Source organism: Homo sapiens, chromosome 3 (genome assembly GCF_000001405.40).
Source record: "Homo sapiens chromosome 3, GRCh38.p14 Primary Assembly".
In the NCBI taxonomy this organism is placed as follows: Eukaryota; Metazoa; Chordata; class Mammalia; order Primates; family Hominidae; genus Homo; species Homo sapiens.
In genome coordinates, this window is record NC_000003.12 from 39805869 (window position 1) to 39832501 (window position 26633).

Below are 26633 nucleotides of genomic sequence, written 5' to 3' on the forward strand. Positions count from 1 at the left end.
CCCAATCATGTCATGATGCAGCCCCTATGGGGCCCATGTTGAAAGTACCCTTTGACATTCTATATTCAAACATTTATCCTGTTGGCCTGGCATCCAGTTGAAAAAGCTGAAATCTTCACTGGATCTGGACAGAAATGAATTCCAGTGTTTACATGTGGCTTACTATGTACCAGTCGGGAGGCACATGTAGGAAAATAGGTGAGTTGTGGTAAACTTTTCAGCTGATTTACTCCAACCACTGTGTCCGTCTTACTGTCTTTGCTACTCACAAACATAACACTCCAGTCTTTACACTTCTCAAGGGCCGGACTTAATGATTGGAGCAAGACAAATAAGTTTTCCTGGGCAACTTAATGTGCACTGTGGAAGGGAAGACTTGCCTCATTCTTAGGTGCTGGCCACTGAGTAGAAGGTAATTCTGGAGCTGTCAGATGCCACTACATTAAGTAAGTCAGCTTAATAATAAAACCTAAGGGGGAAAGCAGAGAGGAGTAGTGGAGAAAGAGGGAAAGAGAGAGCAAACAAACTAGAGAGAGGCTGAGACTGTAGTTCTATTTCTGCTGACATCACCTGAACCCCTGAATCCAAAAGTGCCTGACGTTAGACCTACATCTGGACTTTGCATTTAAGTGAGCCTATGTATTTCTTTTCACTTCTAAGCCTCTTAGAGTTGGGTTTCTGCCACTTGTAACTAAGAGTTCTTGAGACCTCTTAAATAAGTTATAATAAATCCTGTTCAGTAGAATATCATATAGCTGGAAGAAAAGAAGGAAGGAAGGAGGGAGGGAAGGAGGGAGGAAGGGAGGAAGAAAGGAAGAAGAGACGGAGGGAGGGAGAGAGGGAAGGGAGGGAGGAAGGAAGAAGGGGAAACTCCTTATAATGATAGCGAATGATTACATGATACATTGTTTAGGGGAAAGGCCAATCGACTTGTTATTATAATTTGCACTTATTGATTACAACAATTCAGAACAATGAACACCATTTAACATAAGTTTATTTTGTCTGTCCAGATGGATTATCAACTCCTGAACATTCTTATCCTATTTTTTCTCCCCTCCATAGCAATCAACAGGCTCACAGTACTGTTTTTTATTGGACTCTGCTCCCTGAGGTAAAATCATGTTGAAAACCTAGTTTCAAACAAATGTTTTTATGAAATGTTTCACTGGCAGGACTTGGTTTCACAATCAAGAATCTATTGGTCTGACAAAAATAAACCAAAAAATGGGCAAAGGATATGAACATAGAGTTTAAAAGGAAATACAAGTGTCTCATAAACATATGCAAAATGTTCTACCTCACTTTTAATAAGATAATAGCAAGTCAAGCTATCGAGACCATTTTATATAATTGGCAAAGATCTGCAAGTTGGATAATGTACTGTGTAAAGGGATATGTCAGTGTATCAGAAAAGTATCAGTCAGGTACAACTAGAAAAACAGAAACCACTTGGAATATTTGAAATGGGGGGAAGTTAAAACATAGAGTTGGTTACCCGGAGGATGTGAGAGGCTGAAAGACTCCCAGGAAACAGTGAGACCACTGGAGATTAGCAACAGTAGGACATCCTGTTACCTCCAGGCCAAAGGGACAAGAGGGGGAGATGTTGCCAGAACCCAGGGAGCTGAGCCCATACTGAGCCTGTCCTACTGGACTTGGGACCACCCAGGAGGAGTAGCTGCTGCCCTAGACACCCTTCTGTTCCCACCACTCAAGCTGAAAGGGAAGAATGGGAAACACCCTGGCTTCTCCCTTTCTCCCTCCTATTCTCCTACTGCTGAGTCCCATCGGCCAATTGATAGGGGAGTCTGGGAAATGAAGCCCCCCATGAAGCAGAGTCGGAAGGACTAGGAATGGATATGAGAGCTAACAGGCTCAGAACCATCAGAGGGGTGGGTGTGTGAAATATGCACTCACATACCTTGTGTGAGATCATGAGTTTATATCTCTATGAAGGGCATTTGACATTATCCAAATTACAAATGCACATCACCGTTGACCCCATGATCCAGTTGTACAGATTTATTCTTCATATGTACCCCCACACGTACACAGTTACATAGGAACAAAGTTATTCATGCATAATTGTTATTAACAGTGATAGATTGGAGACCATTTAAATGCCCATAATTGGGGGCCCTTACATAAATTTTGGCATATCTTATTCAATGGAATATCATACAGCTGTAAAATAACAAGAAAAAGTTTTTGGTAATGATATGGAATGACTCCACGATAATATCTTGTTAAGGGAAAAGATCAAAATGTAAAACAATGTGCATAGTTTGTACAACAAAAATAAAAATAAGAGCATTAGACAAATATGTTTGTGTATATGTCAATTTCCTTGAGGGAGGTACACACTGGTTGCCCCCAGGAAGAGGAATTGAGAGACAAGGGTGGGAGGGAGTCTTGTTAACTGTGTTCCATTTGTAGTTTTAGAATTTTGTGCCACATGAATGCTAATCAAGCACAGCTAAATAAAATTTAAATTTAATGTAAACAAAAGAGAAACAAACTAACTTCCTTCCACTTTACCAGTTTGTAGACATTAAAATCCCTTTAAAGGAGGGAATCGAATCTTTAAAGAAATTAACTCCTTTACCTTCCGAGTTCCTTTCTTTAAGGTTTTGTCTTGTTTTGTTTTGTTTTCTGCTGTGGACTGATCAGCAAACAAGCCATTTATTTCTACTGCGCACATTTACACGGAGAGAACAGCCTCAACCCACCGGCTTGAGAGGATTTCCAGGGATTCAGAAATCGCCAGTGTAACTCCATAAATGCTTTATTTTCATGGAGCGACTTCCACCCTGCAGCTAAAATTGACAAAGTGTTTTCACAGCCGAGTTGTTGGGGCTGAGGCAGTGGGTCTCAGGAAGATCCCTGGCTTAATGGATGCAAACGCACAATGAAGTCCCGGCCTGGAGTGGAACCTTTCAACTCCCAGTCATTCTTCCAGGACCGGGAACTCCTGGCACGAGCCCGAAAGCGTTCCTCACTTGCAGCAGTCTTTGGGAGTCTTTCTGACAGCGCGGGCTCACTAACCCGGCGGTTCCGCAGCTGTGTTTGGGAGACTTGGGGGCGCATTAGCCTGGACAGCTCCCTGATCGGTAACCCCTTTGATGTGTGTTGAATGAATGAGCGTCGTTAGCGTAGTAGTAAATTTATGGGAGAATTAAAGCAATCCAGATAGGGGTCACTACGGAGACTTTAATTACCCAGGGACTGTGAAGTGGGGAAGAGCTGTCTGTGGAGGAGCGCCACACCATGTCTTAGATTCAGGCAGGCCCCGGATTCTGGTGACCCATTACTCTACGGTCACTGAGGGTCCGGGCCCCCAGGACTCAGAGGCAGGAGACAGGAAAAGCCTGACTTAGAATCGGGGAAGGACCTGGAGTCGCACATGGGGGCTCCCGAACCGCGGCCCCAATACTGCACTGCGCCGCAGGGAAGAGCCCCGGGAGGGGCGCGGGTCCCCGCCCCGGGCGCGCGCAGCCCTGCCCCGCCTCCTCCCGGTGCGCCCCGCCCCTCCCGGCGCGTGCCGCCCGCGCGCCCGAGGTGCTCTGGAGGAACCGGCCCGGCGGGCACCCCCTGCCCCGGCGCAGGCGCGATCGCGGGCCGCCCCTCCCGCCGGGCGCCCTGCACGCGCCCCCGCCCCGCCTCCGCAGGCTCCCCCGCTCCGGGCGCCTCTGATTGGCTCTCGGCCGGGCCAGCAGGTGTCGGCGGTGGCTGCGGCCAGGCTGGCCCTGGCTGCCTGCGGCGCGGGCGCCTCCCTCGCAGCCGCTGCTGCCGACGCCGCTGCGCTCCCGCCTCCTGTCGGTTCCCGGGTTCCCGCTGCGGCTGCGGTTCTGGCAGCCGAGCCCCCGCGGTGCTGCAGCCCAGCTTTAGCGCGCAGACCGACCCGCGCCCCTTCTTCGCCGCCGGCAGCCTCTAATCCACGCGGCGCGTTGCGGCAGGTGCCCTGGGCGTACTGAGGCGCGGTGGCCTGAGCCCGGCCGCCATCGATGACCCCGGTCGCGGACTTGCTTCAGGCTGGCCACCCCCCGTGAGTACCGTCCGCCTCCCTCTTCTCCCCTCTGGCAGCTTTGCGCCACTCTCCCCTCAACGTTGCCGCAACTTCGGGGGTGGGTGTGTGAAGGTGTGGAGGTGTCTCTCACGCTCCCCCGCACCCTGTGCGCGTCCGGAGCCAGGAACCCTAGGCGCGGCCAGTCAGCCTCTGCGGAGGGGCGAGGGGCGCGGGTACTTGAACTTGCTCAGGGATCATCGCGGAGCCAGAATCGCCTCTTTCTCTCGCTGCTGGGGTGGGAGCTCGCCTCTGCGTTTCCCTCGCGTTTTCCGATCCCGGATGGCCACGTAGTGCTTGGGCTGCGGTTCACCGCGTACCTACTGTGCTGCGGGCGCACCGGCGGGACGCCTCAAACCATCCGTTAAGCGCCCCGCAAGCAGCCCAGCGCGACGGACCTGACTCAAACTCTTAATTCTGTAAAACGGGGGTAATCAGGGACTCTCTCAAGGTCACAGCTGGTGCTCAGAGTTAGAACACAGGTGGATTGCGTCTGGCCCTCGCCCGCGGGCTGCCTGGGGAGGGGAGAGCTGTTGGCGGGGCGGTCACTTCAGCTTCATCCCGGGTTCCTCCTCATACTCCCTTTCCGCCACAGCCGCCAGACTTGAAGAGGTAGGGAGCCAATCCCAGGGGGCTCTACATAGATTTGGAGGTAACGGCGGAGGATCTTCCTGATGGACGCGTGGAGCGGAAAGATTCAGTGGTGGGAACCCCAAGACCTGCGGCTTTTTGGAGCACTTGCTCCCCTTCTTGTTCCTTAATTTACTGACGTCTTGGCAGGGTAGGGGAATTTGTTCTTATATCCGTCCTGCTCCTCTTTTCTTTTGCCAAATAAGCACCGTCCCCAAGGATAAGTACGTATCCCAAAACTCTTAAATGCACACACTGGTTTGGGCCTAGGGACTTCCTAAGAGAAGCGAGTACGCTGTGGGCTTGGTTCGCTAACGTTGGCTCCTATCCGCTCCTAGAAAATGCCTTGAGTCTGGCTTCATTTCCATGCTCTCCATCTCCCCGACCATGATCTCGATTTGTTGATTTTCTTGACACTTACTCAGGGGAGGAAGACTGAGACTGGGGGCTGGCCAGTCTTGGGGTATGCAAATGATGTCGGGTGTGATTCTTTTACTCCAGGTCCTTTGAGGTGGCTCCAGTGGGGCCGCCTGTGGTGTTGTGGGCGCTTCTCAGAGCTCTGGGCTGGGGAGAGCGTCACCTAGCCTCTCTTGCCATTATCACCTTGTCCCTTCAACTCAGCCTCCCCCACCCCAACTCTGAAACTCAGCCATGAGATCAATACTTAGTTTTGTGATGACTGACCAGCATCTTTGAACCTGAACTTTTTCATTTATAAAATGAAATAATCCCCGCCGCCTTTCAATCTTCCCAAGGAACTTGGAGTTCATAGGATATGATAAATGTGAAAATGCACTGGGGTTTTATTAAAAAGTCGAAGGAAGATGGTTCAAGGCATCTGGGTCTACGGTGGAAATGGAGGTAATTTAAAAAATTTTACAGCAATATCTGGGACCCTATTTGCAGATTTCAAAATCTTTTTAGAGAAATTTAGTTTCCCAAGACTTTGAAGATACTGCTTTCCATCTTCCTGCTCACGTTCCTTTGCCTGGCCATGGGCAGCTGCGTCTCTCCTAATTACCCACCACTACCTCCATCTGCGAGCTGTCTCTGTGGGCCAGAAGCTGTGTCTGTGGGACTGTTTCTGGAGAGTGGGGGGAGGCTGTGTGTGTGTGTGTTGTCTCTGAGGAGTCAAAGTGTGTCTCTGTAGAGATGGTGTGTATCTCTTGGTGGCGCAGTGTTCTGTGTGGTCTGGGTTTCGTTTGTCTGCGTGTATGGTGGTAGAAGGGAGAGTTATCCGGCTGCAGAATTTGTTCACTTTTGAGAAAGTGAAGTGTTAGCCATACTCAGCTCAGTCATTTAAACTAGCGGTAGCATAGATTATGTTCTATCTCCTTCCTCCCTGCCCAGAGGGATTCCCGATGGCTGAAAAATATCCCGTAGAAAACAAGGCTTCCCCCTGATTTTGCCTTCGAATTATTATTGTGTATGCACAGACTCTTGCCGGAAAGCCAAGTTAAAGGGAGATGACTGATCAGACCTTGGTGAATTTAACAGTCTGTTGAAGTATAATTCCAGAAAATAATGCAGTTCTGAAGGATACACTCAGTGGATTGTCACAACTGAGCACACCTGTGTAACCAGTGCCCTGATTAAGACCCAGAATATTTCCAATCTTCCCATTACCCCTACCTACAGGCACTATCCTCCAAGGGTAGCCATCATCCTGCTTAGTTTTATCAGGTTAGTTTTATTTTTATTACTATTGTTATTTATTTTATCATTTTAGTTCCCAAGCTAAAATGAGACTTCTTGATGATTTTCTACCTCCTTTTTAATAAATGCAATCCAAGAGTAGTTATACTTAAGCCAGTACAGAAAAATAGAAGGAATAATTTAGCCTTACAATCTGGGTGAAGAATGACTTGGTTGTCCCACCACACCTTGATCATTAGTTATTTGGTGGTGTAACAAACCTGATCCCAGATGTAACAGTGCTGACATTGGTCAATGGCGGCTGGTTTGTTCCCATAAGAGCTTTTTCATAGGGTGAATTAAAGTAATGCAAACATGAAATTATGTGATATTAAAATATGAATGAAGAAAAAATGAATAGATTCTCATTTGATATATAAAAAGGAAGTATTTTGAATTCCTCAAAGATAAAAAGTTGACAGAGAATCAGAATTTGAAAGCTGACTGATTTATGAACTGTTGGTGTTGTTGCCACATGGTGGCGCCAGGTTGGCTGGAGAACTGAAATACCTACCATCTTTTCCCAAGCTCTCAGAAAGGAATCCCAGGAATAAAATCCAACAATCCAACAACTCAGTATCTCCGAACATGATTTCCAACTACTATTTTCCATATCTAGCAAGTAGATCCCTTGTATGGTCCCTGCTACTAAATCCATGGGTAGAACTCTATCCCAGCTCTTTATGAAGATGGCCGTGGGATGGGGGCAGGTGCTTGTTGGAGGGAGCTGGAGGTGGGACACTGTTGCCTTTCCCTCAGCAAGATGGAGTTAAGGTGGTGTGTCCTTGTGATTTTAAAGAGGGTTAACTGAGAAGCAAGCTTTGGTCGCCTCATCCTACCCCAGAATCTCTTCAGAGGTTTGAAGGAATGAGTTCTCATTCCGAAGGCTGGTATCTCTTTTCACAGAGCCCTGTCGATGCTGAACCTGGAAGAATACATAGCCCTGGCTGTAGCCACGCTACTGTTGCTGGAAGACATGTCCCAAAATCCCACAGAGCATGCCCAAGTGACCCGGGAGATGTGGGGATGTTGTATCCAGATATGGAGAAGGCTAAGTGGACCCAGCTGGTGCCCTTCTCCCATCCATCACCTTTTGTTTTTATTGTCAGCACGACTGAGATGCTGTTTAGAAGATTGTATTCATTTGGTGGCTTCCATGCCCATAATCACCAAGAGTGTTGAGTGTTTGTCATGTGTTGGGCACGATAATTATATTTATTCTTCACAATAGGAGGAGGATGGCTTTCCAATTTTAAGATAAAAGAACTGCACCTTGAAAGTTACACACTCTAAGTTTACACACTATGCAAGCCGGAGTGAAGGTTAAGAGCCAAGTGCCTGAGACAACATCCCTAGCTGAGTTGTACTCTTCTGCAGTGGCCGGAGGTGGAGGGGAGTCTTATATATAATTCTTTTGTCTTCACTGGCACCTACTCTAGCACTTTACATGTAGCCACTTAAGTGTAAGTATGGAATTGCTGAAAATAGAAAATTCTGTCATAAGCAAGAAGGACAGTGAAAGATGAGAACTTGGGGTCAAGTCCATTCAACCTGCAATGCTGGGACTCAGCGTGCCTACTAGAGTGTGTAGTTTTATTATGTGTTTAAAACAACATGTTATGGACACCTGTCTTATCTATTTTTGTGATTTTTTTCACCTAACTTTTTTTACATGTGTTGATAACATATATTGATCATTGTAAATCTAGTTGACTCATTTTAGCTTAGCATTCCTTTGATATGCCACAGTTTATATATTGATAGATAAAAGATTTTTCTACCTCTTGGTATTATTAAATATATTACAAGGAATATCCTTGACAAGATCTTGTAGAAATGTACAAGAGTGTGTCTTGGGCATATATCCTCAGAAGGGGAACAACTGAGTAGTAGGATATGTATGCTTAAATCAACATTCATCTGTTATTTTAGCTCTCCTAGGTTTGGCAGGTTGCCCTCCTACTGCATTGTGTTGGAGTTCCTTGTATTCCCATATCTTTGGCTGTGACTGGTATTAATCAGATGTTTTGATTTTGGCTAATCTGAGAAGCTTGGAATGTATTTTACTGCTCTTTTACTTTGCATTTCCCTTAGAGATTATCTTTTTAATATATAGTTTTAATATAGTTTTTCAATTTTTTGTGTATTTCCATTGGTTTTTTTACTGGCAAAATTTTGTTTTTCATAGTTGGGTCTTTGAACTCCTCTGAAATTTGTATACCTGTGTTGTTGAGGCAGGAGTATAATTGTTTTCCATATTGAAAACCATTTACCACAGTATCATTTAATGAATAGTTTACTATTTTCTCACTTATTTTGTTGCCATCTCTGACATATGCTAATTTCCGTTATATCCTTGGATCTGTCTCTTGACTCTCTGTTCTACTCATGTTTTTGTGATTCCTGAGCTAATACCATTTCATTTAATTATTAAAGCTTTATAATAAATCTTCTCTTCTTACCCTTTTTCCTTAAAACTGTCTTGGCTATTCTTGATGCTTTAGGCTTCAACATGAATTTTAGGATCTATCCCTTCCTATGAAAATTCCTGTTATAATTTACATTGAATCTAAAGGTTAATTAGAGGAGACTTTTACCTTTTCACTATTGATATGTTCCTTTCATGGACATGGCCTATCTCTATACATTATTTTGTAGGTCATTCTACAAGGCTTTATAATATTCTCCATAAAGTTCTGAAACTTGTATTAGGCACCTTATAGGTTTTCATTATCATTTTTCAGTTGAGGTATAAGTCACATACTATACAATTCACTCATTGAAAGTTTACAATTTAGTGTTTTTAGTAAATTTGCAGGGTATGCAGCCATCAACACAATCTAATTTTAGAATATTTTTGAACCCTGCAAAATAAACCCTGTACCCATTAGCAGTCATTTCTCAGTTCTTATCCCTCCACGCACCCTGCCACACACCCAGCCCTAGGCAACCTTACCAATCTACTAAGTCTATACATTTGCCCATTCTGGATATTTCATATAAATGGAATCATACAATAATACAGTATGTGGCATTTTGTGTCTGGCTTCTTTCACTTAGTGTAATGTTTTCAAGGTTATCTAAGTTGTTGAATGTATCATTGCTTCATTCCTTTTTATTGGTGTATTTCATCATATATATGTGTGTGTGTGTGTATGTATGTATATATATATACACATACATATCACATCTTAGTATCCCTTCATTAGTCCTTAGAAGTTTTATTGCTCTTGTGAATGGGATCATCTCTCCTCTAGCTACATTTTTAAAATTGGTTATTGCCAGTATATAGTAAGGGGGCTGTTTTTTTGTATTCTAATTTTCTATTTGGCATCTTTGTTGGTTTGTAGATTCTCTGGATATTCTGTAGAAAGCCATAGGTACTACAAGTAATGGTGGTTTTGTTTCTTCTGTTTTAAAACTGTTTATATATTTTTTCCTTGGAATATTACACTGCCTAGGGCCTCTGGCATAATGTAGAGGAATAGTGGTGATAGTGGACCTCCCAGTCTGGTATGACTTTGATAATGTTTTAAATATTCACCAAGAGTATGGTGGTTACTTTAGGTTTGTGGCAGATTTGCTTTAACGTGTTAAGAAATTGTATACTTTTGGTATTCTAATAGCGTTTTTTTTTTTTTCAATTATGCTTATGTTAAATTTTTATCATATTCTTTTTTATATCCTCTTTAACAAAGTTGAATTATTAGCTATAATATCAATTCATTTTGTTTTCCTTCCAAAGTTTGTATTATGAAAACGTTATATTTCCAAATGTAAAATTATATTTTAATATTGAATTTGCCTTTTCTTTTTTTCTTTTTTTTTTTGTTTTGTTTTGAGACAGAGTCTTGCTCAGTCACCCAGGCTGGAGTGCAGTGGTGCAATCTCGGCTCACTGCAAGCTCCGCCTCCTGGGTTCACACCATTCTCCTGCCTCAGCCTCCTGAGTAGCTGGGACTACAGGCGCCGGCCACCACGCCCAGCTAAATTTTTTGTATTTTTAGTAGAGACGGGGTTTCACCATTTTAGCCAGGATGGTCTCGATCTCCTGACCTCATGATCCACCCGCCTCGGCCTCCCAAAGTGCTGGGATTACAGGCGTGAGCCACCGCACCAGCCTGAATTTGCCTTTTCAAATCATACTGACAACCTATCCTGAGAGTAAACTCCCCTTGTAGGTATTTTTCTTTCTTCTCTTACTTGAGGATCAGTGTCTTGAAGAAAGATCAGACTGACTGAAGAGTTTACAAAGGCTAATAAATATGAAGCACTCTGAACAGTGCCTGGCACTTAAGTCTTAGTTATTATCATAATTATACAATGTAGTTAGTAATAAATTATCAAAGAGCGTTGATTTGGAGTCCTGAGGAGGAGGCTTCACTAGGGGGAGGCCGGCCCAAATGGAGTGGCTAATGGAGAATGTGGTATTTGACTTGGCAATTGAAATTAAATTAAACTAAGTGTGTTAATATAAAACATAATAATTATAGAAATATAGGCAAACAGAAGAAAGTAAAAATCACCTATATTCCCACCACTTAGTTGCTTTTGAAATTTTTATATATTTTTTTCCAGAGGTCATTTGATATTGTATACATAAATCCAAACCTTATAAAATATTCATTTTCTGAATCTCACTAGTTATTAAGCCTCTGTAATGATAACAGCCTTCACATCATCACATGAAAACATTCATTAATGAATTGCCCACTTATATGTAGGTCCCCATTGTGATGTCTTAAGATAGCACTAACGAGTGTCTGCCTACTAAGCATCATTTCCTTTATGGGCCAGTTGCTCCTCAGTTATATAGGATTTTACTGGACATGATAGTGCAAATTCATTGTAGAATAGAATTGCAAATCTTGCAAAAGATGGAGAACTTCGTGAAACTGATGAAACTAGGTTGACAATCTGCAGAAAACACTTGCTGATTGTTGAACACATTGATTGCTGACAGCCCTAAACCTGGTAAGGATCGAAAAAGAGACAGTATCTGCATGCTCCAGAAGAGAATGAGTTGAATGACAAAATAAGGAGAGGTCCTTTTGATGCCCATCCTCAAATAATTTTGCTCAAAAGTGATACTGTTTCTGAGCTTGTCAGAAACGTCAAATGCTCATTGAAGGATGTTTTGTGCTCTTAAGTTTGCTGGGGAATTTATTCCCCAAATATGAAAACATGATTTATTTTAAGGTAGCATTTTCCAGAAGAAATATGCTAGGAATACATGTAATTTAAAATCTTCTCATGGGCACATTAAAAACATTTTTTAAAATGGTGGAACTAATTTTAATAATATATTTAATTCAGTATATCAAATATACTTTTGTATATATTTCAAGATAAAATCAATATAAAATTATCAATGGAATGTGTGACATTCCTTTTTCTATACTAAGCCTTTGGAATCTAGAATGTATTTTATACCCACAACACATTTCAACTGGACTAGTCACATTTCAAGTGCTCAGTAGCCGCATGTATTGTATAGTGTGGTTCTAAGAACTAGTGTAAAGTTGTATATCAAAATTTGCTAAAAGATTAAATAAAATGTATCCTCTTGTTTTTTTCCCTTAAAATGTAATACTAATCAAAACTTTTTATTTCCCATTATTTACTGTGATATTTTAAGTGGATTCACTTTAACTGACTTTTCTCTGGTAACAAGTATCCTTGAATAATATGGACCATATGAATATTATTTTTTAAAAATAAAATGATACTTTAAAAAACTTAACAACACATCAGCAACTTTAATGCCAGTATTTATTCTTCTGTCATTACTTTCATCCTTCAAATAATCTGTTTAATCTATGTACTGTAATTTGTTCAATGAAACCATTCTTTTAAGACATTAGGCACTTTAGACTTTTATTAACTTCAACTTTGTAGACATTTTTTATTTTCTTGAGATGAAGTACTTTGTCAAAGTTAGTTTACTTTAAGCTTTTGATATATATTTTCAAATAACCCTCCAGAAAAGTTTATAAATTTATCTTGCCATCGGTAGTATATGAGTATGCCAAATTCCCATGCCTTGCCTTTGATAAGTATGATTATTCAATAACAGTGCTAGTTTCTTGGGCAAAAAGAAGAAACCCAGAACCTTGCTTTTTATTTCACCTTTCTCAACTGGTGAGGCAGAATGTATCTGCATATTTATTGGCTCTTCATGGCCAACTTCACTATAGAGTTATCCATGGAGGTTGTTTTTTATTTCCTGTGCATTCTGTAACTTGCATTTATTATTTGGTGTTTTTGAAAGAATAGTTAAGTTGTTTTACCCAGATCATGTTCATATTTTTAACTACTAAATACCTTTCCATCATATGAAATAACATATTTTATTAATAAGTTTTTCTATGATAGACTTTTGATTGTTTCTTTAATTTTGGGGGGGTATTACATAGATGCATTCAGTAAACATCCTTGAAATTTATTTATGCACATGTACAAGAAACTCTTGAAGATATATGCCTAGAAGTGAAATTGCAGGGTCTTATTTTATGTAAACTTTGAATTTGACCATTTGATGCCAAATTACTCCCCAAAGTGACAATACTAATTTAAATTTCTATAGCAATGTAGATGGATTGTATCTGTCACATTAAGGAGATAATACTACAGAAGGAAGAACAAAGATGTTAAAGGAGAAAATACATAGGTATATATTTTTGTGTATATATAAATACCCTAAAGTTCAATTAGAAAGCTCAGAGGTTTTTGACCTTTTCATTTTGAATATTGCATCATATAAGTGATTGTACATAAATATATCATAAACCTCATATAAATATTTACCAGTGGGGCGCGGTGGCTGATGCCTGTAATTCCAACACTTTGGGAGGCCGAGGTGTGTGGATCACCTGAGGTCAGGAGTTTGAGACCAGCCTGACCAACATGGTGAAACCTCGTTTCTACTAAATACAAAAAATTAGCTGAGCATGGTGGTGCATGCCTGTAGTCCCAGCTACTTAGGAGCCTGAGGCAGGAGAATTGCTTGAACTCAGGAAGCAGAGGTTGCAGTGAGCCGAGATTGAGCCATTGCACTCCAGCCTGGGCAACAAGAGCAAAACTCCATCTTAAAAAAAAAAAATTACCTAGCTGGGGAAAACTGGTAAGAGTTTAAATGGTCAGCTATTTAGTAGTGCCTTTAATGAGGACAGACTACAAGAGGAAGTAAACACCTGTTCGGGAGAACCAGGAAAGCACATCTGTCCAGCTCTGCCCCTGTCTCACCCATCCTAGGGTGTAGATTCTACCATTGGACAATTATTCCTTTTTGTCTTCTATTCTGTTAAAATTTAGAAGACTTTCGTTGGGGTAACTGCAAAGTAACACTGTGATATTAACACCCTAATGTGAATGAATATATGTGATCAATTGCTAGTGAGAGGCAGACCAGAACAGCGTGACACCACCAGAGGGTTAGTGAGGAAATGGCAGTGAGGTGGACATGGTTGGGGGATGGGCTGGATGATTTACTGAAAGAAACCTCTCCCACTTCCAACTTACCCTGAGGATGAATTCTGCATTTCTGCAGGGAAAGTAAAAAGAACTTTATGAAACTGTGTGCCTAAAAGCTTTCAGAAAACTGTTTTTGGTTTTTTATTCAATCATTATCTTCCCTAGATAATTATGAGTTAAATTTTCTGTGTATATTTATATAACATCATCTGGGGCAAGAAAAAACACTGTAAGGAATTCCATTTTGTGGCTGTGATTTACAATGTGATACCACTGATGAGACAGATGTGTGATCTGCAGCCGGGATACACAAATCCATGCTGTGGGCTGACAGTTTAATCTTACTGAGCTGACACTGGGGAAGAAAATGCAAAACGTGTGTGCCCCAGGAAGGATGAGTGCCTGGAAAACAGGTGCCCATGACCTCGGGATCTAATGTGGCTATTTGCCAAAAGCCTCAAATAATCTTCTGACACTGAATCCTGGTGGCTCAGATAACAGTGTCCTGTGATATGGTTCCCTCTTTTTGGTGTGAAATGTAACTATCTCAAAGTGTGTTGGGTCATTTTCTAGTCTGTCAAGCCCAGATGACAGGATTCTGGTGAAATCTTTGGGGAAAAGAAAAATACCCAAGCCTCTTTACATGATGGTTTTGTTTGTTTGTTTCCTGAAGAGATCCCAGTATGTGTAAGCAGTGCTTCCAGTTCCTAAAACCTTTCTGACTTCCCCTTGAAAACCTCTGTCTCCAGCATCATTTCATTTTCCCTATGTAGCTCCAGCCTCAGAAAATATGGCAGGTGCTGCTTTTGTGTTTGTCTTACATGAATACAGTTTTGTTGCTTTGCTTCTTCTGAAAAGCAATTTATTAATCATTAGAGATTTTGATTTACTAGAATGATACGTAAATAGTATTATGTTTGAGATGAGTATCTTTCTTTTACAGCTAATTATAAGAAAAATCAGAAATGTTGTTTTCATTGTTTTAATCCTTGTTCAAAGTCTTTCAGAAACCCACCAATCAATTTTTCAGCTCTGTGGTCCAGAGGATGTCAGGTGCCTCTCCTAGAACTGCAGATCTTGCAGTCTGGCACTGGAATGTTGCTGAGATCCCCTAAAGGCTCCTTCATGCTCCCAGGTCTGAATCCTTCCTTTTGCAGGTTCCAAGTACCTGATGCATGTTCTTCCCACTCCCCCTGCCACCATCCACTTTCTGCTTGGGTTGCTTTTCCCTCAGGCTGCTGCTGATGGTGGATGGGGATGCAATGCTGACATTTTCCCCTTCTCTTTTATAAATGATCTGAAAGCAGCAAAGAGAATGAAAAACAAAAGACCAAACATTTTTCACAAATCTGAAAGATAGTTAAAATTGCTTCCCCAAAAGGTGGAAACATTGCTAGAAAAAGTGGGATCATGGGATGCATGGGAGGTACCTGGAAGGAGGCAGAAGGATGTGCTCTGCATGTTCAGTCAAGAGCACCTGAAGGTGAGATTTCCTACTGGAGTGCAACACCCAAGTCCCTTGTACATAGTGGGATAAGGAAGCCTGCAGAGGCAGCAAACACTTCCTGCTGTCCTCCACTGCCCACCCCCGACCCCTGTACCACCCCGCCCCGACTTAGTGCCTTCTTTGCCTTTTGGCCAATCTCACCAGAGTTTTTACTGGTTCTTTTCAGACTTTCCAAAGAACCAACTTTTGACTTTGTCTTCTCTATCCTATCATTGTTTCTATTTATTAATCTCTGTTCTCATCTTTATTATTTCTTTCCTATTTCTTTGGGTTTTTTTTCTCTAATCTCTTAAATTTACATGATTAATTCATTAACTTACAGCTTAGCTTCTTTCCTATATATGCATTTAGGACTATAAATTTTTCTCTAAGTATTGCTTCAGCAGTGTTTTTATTTCACAAGTTTCGATATATAATGTTTTTGTTATTGTTCACATGTGAATTTTTAAATTTTTCATTATAATTTCTTCTTTGACTTATGACTTATATGTTTTTTCCTAGAACTTTTTAATATTTTTTTTTCTATTTTAATTCATGGTGACCAGAGAATATGGTCTACATGATTCCAGTTATTTGAAATTTGTTGATGCTTGTTTTGTGGCCTGGTACATAGTTATTGTTCACAAATGTTCCATAACTTCTTGAAAAGAAAGTTATTGGTTGCAGAGATTCATATCTGTTTATTAGCTGAACTTAGTTAATTATGTTATTCAAATATTCCATTTTTTAACTGATTTTTTGCAGTTTGGTTAATCAGTTATTGAAGGAGAAGTATATGAAAGCCAATTTATTAATTTCATCTTGTGCTTTCCTTTTGTTTTGTATATTTTGAAGGTGCCTTTTAGTTTAAGTGTATACCATTATGAGAAACCCTCTTAGTCTCTAGTAATACCTCTTGTTTTTAAGTCTGTGTTTAAGAGAGCTATACTATATTATATTTTTAAGTTGACATATAATAATTATACATATTTATGGTATGTAGTGATGTTTCAATATATACGGTATACAGTGATCAGATCAGGGTAATTTGCATGTCCATCATTTCAAACATTTATCATTTCTTTGTGTTAGATACATTCAATGTCATACTTCTAGCTATTTGGAACTCTATAACAAGCTTGTCTGTGCCCCATGGGCTGCATGTGGCCCAGAATGGCTTTGAATGTGGCCCAACACAAATTCGTCAAATTCGTAAACTTTCTTAAAACATTATGAGATTTTTTTTTGCGATTTTTTTTTTCTCATCAGCTCTCATTAGTGTTAGTGTATTTTATGTGTGGCCCAAGACAATTCTTCTTCCAATATGGCCCAAGGAAGCCAAAAGATTGGATACCTCTGCTCTATAGCATATTATTATTGACTATAGTCATCCTGTAATGCTGTAGAACACTAGAATTTGTTACTCTCATCTAGCTGTAATTTTGTATCATTTAACAATTCTCTCCCTTTCTCTACCCTTCCCAGCCTCTAGTATCCTCTGTTCTACTTTCATTTGTATGAGGTCATCTTGTTTTAGCTTCCACAAAGGAGTGAGAACATGCAGTGGTTAACTTTCTGTTCCTGGCTTATTTCACCTAATGTGATGTCCTCCAGTTCCATTCATGTTTCCACAAATGACAGGATTTGATTCTTTTTTTTTTTTTATGGCTGAATAGTATTTCCTGGTGTATATATACACCTCATTTTCTTTACCCATTAACCTGATGTTGGACACTTGGCTCTTGTGAATAGTGCTGCAATAAACATGGGAGTGCAGATGGCTTTGCTTTTCTTTTCTTCCTTTTTTTTTTTTTTTTTTTGAGATAGAGTCTGACTCTATCACCCAGGCTGGAGTGCAGTGGCGCAATCTTGGCTCACTGCAACCTCCGCCTCCTGGGTTCAAGTGTTTCTCCTGCCTCAGCCTCCCCAGTAGCTGGGATTACAGGTGCCTGCCACCACGCCCAGCAAATTTTTGTATTCTTAGTCGAGATGGGGTTTTGTCATGTTCCCCAGACTGGTCTTCTGACTTCAAGTGATCTGCCCGCCTCGGCCTCCCAAAGTGCTGGGATTACAGGCGTGAGCCACCGTGCCTGGTCAGATGTCTTTTCAATACACTGATTTCTTCTCTTTTGAATAAATGCCCAGTAGCCCAGTAGTGAGATTGCTGGATGATACAGTAGTTCTACTTGTAGCTTTTTGAGGAACCTCCATACTGTTCTCCATAGTGGCTGTCCTATTTTACACTCCCACCAACAGTATGTAAGTGTTTTCTTTCCTCCACATCCTTGCCAGCATTTGTTATTTTTTGTCTTTTTGATAATAGCCATCCTAACTGGGGTAAGATGAAGACTCATAGTGGTTTTGATTTGCATTTTCCTGATAATTAGTGATGTTGAGCATTATAAATATATTTGTGGAACATTTACATATCTTCTTTTGAGAAATGTCTACTTAGAGCATTTGCCTTCTTTTTAATGGGATTTTTTTTTCTGTTGAGATGTTTGACTTCATTTTATATTCTGGATATTAATTTCCTGTAAGATGAATAGTTTGCAAATATTTTTTTCTCATTCTGTAGGTTGTCTTATCACTCTATTTATTATGTATTGTTTCCTTTGCTTTGGAGAAGCTTTTTAGTTTGATATAATCCCTTTGCTTATTTTTGCTTTTGTTTCCCATGCTTTTGAAGTCTTATCCATAAAATCTTTTTCCAGATCAATGTCCTAAAGTATTTCCCCTATGTTTTTATCTAGTAATTTTGTAGTTTTGTCTCTTACATTTAGATCTTTAATCCATTTTGAATTGATTTTTGTTTAAGGCGAGAAGTGGAGGTATAGTTTCATTCCTCTGCATATGGACATCGTTTTCTCAGCACCATAATTTAAGAGATTATCCTTTCCTCGGTGAATGCTCTTGGTGCCTTTGTCAAAAATCATCTGGTTGTAGATATGTGGATTAATTTCTGGGTTCCTTATTCTATTCCACTTGTCTATGTGTTTGTTTTTATGGCAATATTATGCTGTTTTGGTTATTACAGCTTTGCAGTATATTTTTAAGTCTGGTAGTGTGATGTCTCCAGCATTGTTCTCTTTGCTCTGGATTGCTTTGGCTGTTTGGGGTCTTTTGTGGTTCCATACATAGTTTTGGATTTTGTTTTCTATTTTTGTGAAGAATGTCATTAGTATTTTGATAGGGATTATTTCATTGAATCTGTAGGTTGCTTTGGATAGTATGACCATTTTAATTATATTCATTATTTTGAACCTTGAACATGGCATATTTTTCCATTTGTATTCTCTTCAATTTCTTTTTATCAGTGTTTTATATAGTTTATTTTGTAGAGGTTTTTCACCTCCTTGGTTATATTTATTTCTAGGAACCAGGTATTTTGTTTTATTTTTTGTAGCCATTGTAAATGGGATTGCCTTCTGGATTTCTTTTTCAGATAGTTGATTGTTTGTGCATATTAATCCTACTAATCCGACTGATCGTTTTTTTTTTTCTTTTTCTTTTTAACAGACAGTTTCTCACTCTGTTTCCCAGGATAGAGTGCAGTGGCATGATCATAGCTCACTGCAGCCTTAAACTCCTGGGCTTAAGTGGTCTTCTTGCCTCAGCCTCCCAAGTAATTGTGACTATAGGCATATGCCACCACATCTGGCTAATTTTTTAAAATTTTATATAGAGACAAGGTCCAACTATGTGGCCCAGGCTAGTCTCAAACTCCTGGCCTCAAGTGATCCTTCCACCTTGTATTTCCATAGTGCTGGGATCACAGGCATTGAGCCACTGTGCCCAGCCAGTGCTATTGATTCTTGCTTGTTGATGTTGTATACTACAACTTTATTGAATTTGTTTATCAGTTCTAAGAGCTTTTTGGTAGAGTATTTTGATTTTTTGCTATATAAGATTATGTCATCTGCAGAGACAACTTGACTTTTTCTTTTCTATTTGGATGCCCTTTCTTTCTTTCTCTTGCCTATTTGCTCTTACTAGTACTTCCAGTACTATGTTGAATAAAAGTGGTGATAGTGGACATCCTCGTCTTGCACTAGTTCTTGGAGAAAAAGCTTTTGGCTTTTTCCCATTCAGTATGATGTTAGCTGTGGGCTAGTCATATATGGCTTTATTTTGTTGATGCACTTTCCTTCTATACCTAATTTATTGAGAGTTTTTATCATGAAGGGATGTTGGATTTCATTAAATTTTTTCATTGCATCTATTCAGATAATCATATATTATAGTTTTTGCCCTTCATTCTGTTGATGTGTTGCATTTATTGATTTGCAGGTGTTGAACCATCGCTGTATCCTTGAGATAAATCCCACTTCATCATGGTGTATTATCTTTTTGACATGTTGTGGGTTTTTTGTTTGTTAAGGATTTTTACATCTATATTTATTAGGGATATTGGCTTGTATTTTTCATTGTTATTTTTCTGATCTGGTTTTGCTATCAGGGCTATGCTGGCCTGGCAAAATGAGTTAGAAAGAACTCCTTATGCTTCAATTCCTTTGAATAGTTTGAGAATAGTTGGTGTTAACTATTCTTTAACAGTTTGGTAGAATTTAGTGGTGAAATCATCTGATCCTGAGATTTTCTTTTTTGGGAGGCTTTTTACTACTGATTCAATCTTGTTACTTTTTTAATTGGTCTGTTCAGGTTGTCTATTTCTTCTTGATGCAATCTTGGTAGGTTATATGTGTTTAGGAATTTGTCCATCTCTTCTAAGGTTTTAAATTTATGGGTATATAGTTGTTTATAATAGTCTCTCATGAGCCTTTGCATTTTGGTGATATCCATTGTGACATCTTTTTTGTTTCTGATTTTATTTATTTAGGCCTTCTCTCTTTTTTTCTTAGTCTAGCTAATAGTTTGTCAATTTTGTTTATATTTTTTTAAAAAAACAATTTTTTGTTATCTATTGTATTTTTTTAGTCTCAATTTTGCTTATTTCTGCTCTTTATTATTTTTTCTTTCTACTAATTTTGAATTTGGTATGTTTTTGCTCTTCTATTTTCTTGAGATACATCGTTAGGTTATTTATTTGAAATCTTTCTACTTTTTTGATGTGGGCATTTATTGCTATGAACTTGAGTCTTTATACTGCATTTGCTGTGTCATAGGTTTTGATACGTTGTGTTTCTGTTCTCATTTGTTTAAAATAATTTTTAAATTTCCTGCTTAATTTCTTCTTTTACCCATTGATCAGGAACGTGTTGTTTAATTTCTGTATATTTGTATAGTTTTGAATATTCTTATTATTAATTTCCAGTTTTATTCCATTGTGGTCAGATAATGTATTTAATATGATGTTTTAAAAAATTTTTTGAGACTTGTTTTGTGTCCTAACATATGGTCAGCCCTTGAGAATGTTATATGCGCTGATGAAAAGAACATGCAGCTGTTGGGTGAATAAATATTTATTAGACCCATTTGGTCTGGGGTGCAGTTTAAATCCAATGTTTCTTTGTTCATATTCTGTCTAAATGATCTGTCTAATGCTGAGAGTGGGGAGCTGACATCCTCAATGATTATTGTATTGAGGTTTATTTCTCCCTTTTGATCTAATAATATTTTCTTTATATATTTAGATGCTCCAGTATTGGTTGCATATATATTTACAATTATATTATCTTGCTGAATTGATTGGTCTCTTTATTATTATATAATGTTCTTTGTCTCTTTCTATTGTTTTTGGTTAAAGTCTGTTTTACTGATATTATATCAGGCAATATATAGAAGTATAGCTACTCCTGCTCACTTTTGGTTTCCATTCCCAAAAGGGAATATCTTTTTTCACCCCTTTACTTTCAGTCTATGGGTGTCTTTCCAGGTAAGGTGAGTTTCTTGTATACAGCATATAGTAGGGTTTTGCATTTTAATTTTTAATTTTTTGTTTGTTTGTTTTTAGAGACAAGATCTTGCTTTGCTGCCCAGGCTGGAGTGCGGTGGCATGACCATAGCTCACTCCAGCCTCAAACTCCTGAACTCAAATGATCCTCCCACCTCAACCTCCTCACTAGCTAAGAGTGTTCGCATGTGCCACCATGCCCAGCTTTTTAAAAATTTCTTTGTAGAGATGGGGCCTTACTGTGTTCACTAGGCGGGTCTCAAACTCTTAGGCTCAAGCGATCCTCCCATCTTGGCCTCCCCAAATACTCAGTTTATAGGCGTGAGCCACCGCATCAAGCCAGGTCTTATTTTTTTAATCCATTCAGCCAATCTGTATCTTTTAATTGAGGAATTTAATCTGTTTACATTCAAATTATTATTAATAGGTGAGAACTTACTCCTGTCAGTGTATTGGTTGTTTTCTTGATTGTTTTGTATATCTTTTATTCTTTACTTCCTCTGTTATTACTTTTGTTGCTGCTTGATTTTCTATAGCAATGAGGATTGGTTCCTTTTTTTTCTTCTTTGTGCATTGCCTTTACCAGTGAGTTTTGTAATTTCACATTTGGTGAATGTGATGATAATTTCACACTTGGTGAATTTCACATGCTGGTAGTTACTGTCTTTTCACTTCCCCATGGAAGATGCCCTTGAGCATCTTGTCTAGTGGTGATCAATTCCCTGTTTTTGCTTGTCTATGAAAGATTTTATTTATCCTTCAATTCTGAAGGATAGCTTTGCCGAATATAATATTCTTGATTGGCAGTTTTTTTTTCTTTCAGTACTTTGGATATATCATTCCATTCTCTCCTGTCCTGTAAAATTTCTGTTGAGAAGTCTACTCTTAGTCTCATGGGATTCCCTTATATGTGACTTGATGCTTTTCTCCTGCTGTTTTTAGAATTCGTTGTCTTAGACTTTTGACAGTTTGACTGTAACTCGCCTTGGAAAGGACCTGTTTGAGTGGAATCTATTTGGGGTCCTTTGAGCTTCTAGGTGTCGATGTCTATCTGTCTTCTAGGAACTTATGGAGTTTTCAGCTATTATTTTATTAAGTATATTTTCTACATGTTTCTTCTTCTCTTCTCCTTCTGGAATGCCCATAATGTGACTATTTATTTGCTTAGTGGTGTTCCATAAATTCTGTAGGCCTTCTCCATCCTTTTAAATTCTTTTCTCTCTCATTTTTTTGTCTGCCTGACTTATTTTAAAAAACTTATCTTTAAGTTCAGAAATTATTTCTTTTGTCCTGTGTTGTCTGTTGTTGAGGCTCCCTATTTATTAGTCTGTTGTATTGTCTTGTATATTACTGAGTTTTCTTAAGATTATGATTTTGAATTATTTCTGGCAATTTATATATATATATAATATCTTTTATTTTTCCATAAGTTATTGGGGTACAGGTGGTATTTGGTTACATGAGTAAGTTTTTAGTGGAGATTTGTGAGAGGCTGGTGGACCCATCACCTGAGCAGTATACACTGCACCATATTTGTTGTCTTTTATCTCTCGCTCCCCTCCAACTCTTCCTCCCAAGTCCCCAAAGCCTATTGTATCATTCTTATGCCTTTGCATCCTCATAGCTTAGCTCCCACATATCAATGAGAACATACAATGTTTGGTTACCAACTCCTGAGTTATTTCACTTAGAATAATAGTCTCTAATCTCATCCAGGCCATTGCAAATGCTGTTAATTCATTCCTTTTTATGGCTGAGTAGTATTCCATCATATATATATCAGAGTTTCTTTATCCACTCATTGATTGATGGGCATTTGGGTTGGTTCCACGATTCTGCTATTGTGAATTGTGCTGCTATGAACATGTGTATGCAAGTATCTTTTTCAAATAAAGACTTCTTTTTCTCTGGGTCGATACCCAGTAGTGGGATTGCTGGATCAAATGGTAGTTCTACTTTTAGTTCTTTAAGGAATCTCCACACTGTTTTCCATAGCAGCTATACTAGTTTACATTCCCACCAGCAGTGTAGAAGTGTTCTGTGATCGCCACATCCATGTCAACATCCACTGTTTTTTGATTCTTTGATTATGGCCATTCTTACAGGAGTAAGGTGGCATTGCATTGTGGTTTTGATTTGCATTTCCCTGATCGTCAGTATGATTGAGATCTTTTACTGTAGAATTATTGTGTTTCTTTAGATGTGTCATGTTTTCTTGCATTTTTATGTTTGATGTGTCCTTAGGTTGATGCCTACACATCTAGTGGAACAGTTGCCTCTTCCAATTCTATGGAGAATGTTTCACAGGGAAAGACTTATTTGTATTGATAGGTCTTGGGGTTTTGGTTGGGTGGTATGCATTCACTTTGGATTTAGCTGGACATAGTAATGTAGTTCCTGTTCTGTTTTTTCACTTGTAGTCCACACTAAAGATGTTTGTGAGTTTCTCAGTGTCCTAGGCTGTGAGAGGTTGTGGTGATTCTGGTGAGGCTGCTGGAAGTGGGCTTGCTGGGGTGTTTCTAAGGAGAGCTTGCATGCACATCGTGTGTTGGCTAACTTGAGTCCTGGCTCAATGGGGTTGGGGCCATGGGGCTGTTATTCTGGCCAGGGACACTGTACTTTTTTTTATACATAATACCATTGCACACCTAATAGATTATAGCATAGTGTAAGCACAACTTATATGCACTGAGAAACCTAAAAAAAATTGCATGAGTTGCTGTATTGTAATATTTGCTTTATTTTAGGGGCCTGGCACCAAACTCACAATTTCTCTGAGGTATGCCAAGTTGTGAATGCAACTGTACGTAGGCTCTTTCTAACATCCTGGCCTCTCAGTTCTTTACCTTTTCTGCTCAAATTATCTCTCCTCCACCTGGCCCTGCCACTCACTTCCACAGTTGTAACCTAGACTTTGTCATTCCTAGTAACTACCAGCTTCACAATCTGTTTCCTGCTTATGTTCTCTGACAACCAATCTTCAATTTCTAACCCTCTCTCTCTGACTTCAACTCTAAAAGTTCCTCAGTGTCTCTTTCAGTCTCTAACCCCAGTTGCTTGAGATTCTCTTATTTTGCCTTTTCCAGCTACTCTTTTGTGGTCTACCCTATAGAAAAACCTTCATACACCCTCACTTCACTTATCTCTTTAGGGCAATATTCTATTCACTTGGATGAACCATAGCACTGGTCAAATCCTGATCTTTACCTACTCCATACCTGCGTTTAGGATGCTGAATGTGGCTGGAGAAGAACTTACAGTTAACTGGCCTCACGTGACCATGAACCTCAGGTGGATCCTTGTTGCTGCCTGATAGTTCCCTAGTCCTTGTACTCTCTTATTCTCTTCATTGATGTCTCACATTTTTCTCCTGTCTCCTCAAATATCTATACCTCGTCACCATTCTCACTCTTACACATTGTCCCGGTTTCCTCTCTCACTGAGAAAACCAAAGCCATTGTGAGGAACTTTCACAGGCCTGCACCACTGTCTGCTCACCTGCCATATCTGCTGCCCTTTGTTCTGTGACCAATATGAAATGTCGCTCCACTCCCTAGCCCTGGAGCCCACCTTCTTCAAATATTCAAGCATATCACCCTAGTAATTTTCTTCTCCTCTGAATTTCACTTTCCTTCTCTCTACCACATGTTTCTCATGGGCTTACAAATATGTTATTTTTCTTTTCTTGGAAAAACTCCCTCTTTAGCTTACTTCCACTCCGAGCTATGGCTCCCATTTCTTTGCTTTCCTGTATAAAAAAGAAAAAAAACTGCTAAAAAAGAGTTGTCTAGACTCGCTGTATGCAAATAATCTTCTCCCATTCTCTCTTAAACCCATCCCTGCAGATTGCCAGCCCAGTTTCATCAACTTCACCGGAAACTTTCAAGATTATGAATGACCACCATGTTATGGAATACAATGTCAATTCTTAGTACTCATGATACTTAAAATTTTAGCAGCCTTCGAAGCAACCAATCTGTTAATCCTACTTGATGCACTTTCTTCACCAGGTCTCAAGGATATACTCTTGCTTTACCTTTACCTTCTAAATCTCTGGAAGTTCTTTCTCATATTCTGCTTGACCTCTTAGTGTTGGACTGCCCCAGGACTCAGGCTTTAATCTTCTTTACCTGTTTATTTATCTTACCTCCTATAGACTCATCTTGTTTCATGGTTTTAATTACCATTTATGCCAGTGATCTTCAAGCATATCTATTTAGGCTGGACCTCTCTCCTGAACTCCTTGAATGACCTACTTGACATCTCCCCCTGGATGTGCAATAAATATCTCCAAATCAACCTTCTAAAAGCTGAACTCCTGCTCTTCCCTCCAAAACTGTTCCGTTAGCATTTTTTGCATCTCTTAGTTGCCTAGGTCCCAACCAATATAATCATTATTTTCCTGTGAATACAATACATTTATTTGTGGCTTAAAACTTTTTCTTAATATAAAATTATTAATCCCATATTTTACCTTCTTTTTAATACTTATTTTTGAAATCTGGTGCATATTTTTCAATCATGGCACATGTCAATTTAGATATAAATTTTTATAAGAATTACTTGATTTATATCTATATTTCATAAAATACACAGTTGAAAAAATAAATCAGTATACCTATGTCATTCTACATATATTTACACATTTCTAATAGCTGAATTGAATATCACTTGAAATTCTAATTAATTAAAATTAAATTCAATTAAAAATTCAGTTTAGTTGCATTAGCTATGTTTTACACACTCAATAGCCACCTATGGCTGGTGGCTCTCGTATTGGACAGTGCTGGTAGAACCATCTTGTGGGATGGTTTATAAGTTTCTGGGTTTCTCATGTATGTAAAGAAAAGATAACCTAAAATTAAATATTCACAACCAAGTTAAAGGAAGAAGTTAGAGTTGTTTGCATTGCACCTGGCACTCTGTTGGTCAGAAGGAAGTTGAGAATTTTAATGTGGGAAATGTTGGAATGTAGAAAATAAGCACATCTGCGAGGAATCTCTTTCTGCTGCTTCTGCACTCTTCTTCCTCTCACCCTGTGTGCATTCTCTGCATCATGAGAACATGGCTTTATTTATGTTCTGGAAATGGTTTTAGTGTTTCCTTTCTGAATAGGGAGGAATCTTGGGTTACAACACAGAATATGTTTGTAACAACCTGGCACAAATTTTCTTCAAGTTATTCTTCTCCAAATTTGTTAAAGAACTTCTCAAATAATTATCTTTTCAGTGGAAATGGATGTCTTACATTGCTTCCTTTCTTCCTATTAGAAATGTGAGAAATTCACTTAATTGCCAGAGAGAGGCACAGAGACTGAGAGCTTGTATTTTTTACTCTTTTAGATTCATTAAACTGAAGTAGGTCTCAAAAAAGCTTTTTGGACTTGAGATGACATGCATTCAATACTTAATATTTACCATCAGATAAATT

At 39.4% G+C, this 26633-nt stretch overlaps 1 protein-coding gene across 6 annotated transcripts in view; it reads left to right on the forward strand.

The window, feature by feature from the left end:
• Nucleotides 1–3045: 3045 nt before the first annotated feature.
• The window catches only part of MYRIP (myosin VIIA and Rab interacting protein), a 451408-nt gene continuing 427820 nt past the window's right edge, over nucleotides 3046–26633 (forward strand). For 4 of the 6 annotated variants that reach the window (NR_104316.2, NM_015460.4, NM_001284424.2 and 1 more), the window contains exon 1: nucleotides 3741–4048. The gene's annotated coding sequence lies outside the window, so the exon portion shown is untranslated. Of the gene's footprint in view, nucleotides 3114–3740; nucleotides 4049–4076; nucleotides 4848–26633 lie in introns of those variants that run through there. The other 2 variants (NM_001284423.2, XM_011533575.2) reach the window with 2 other exon arrangements.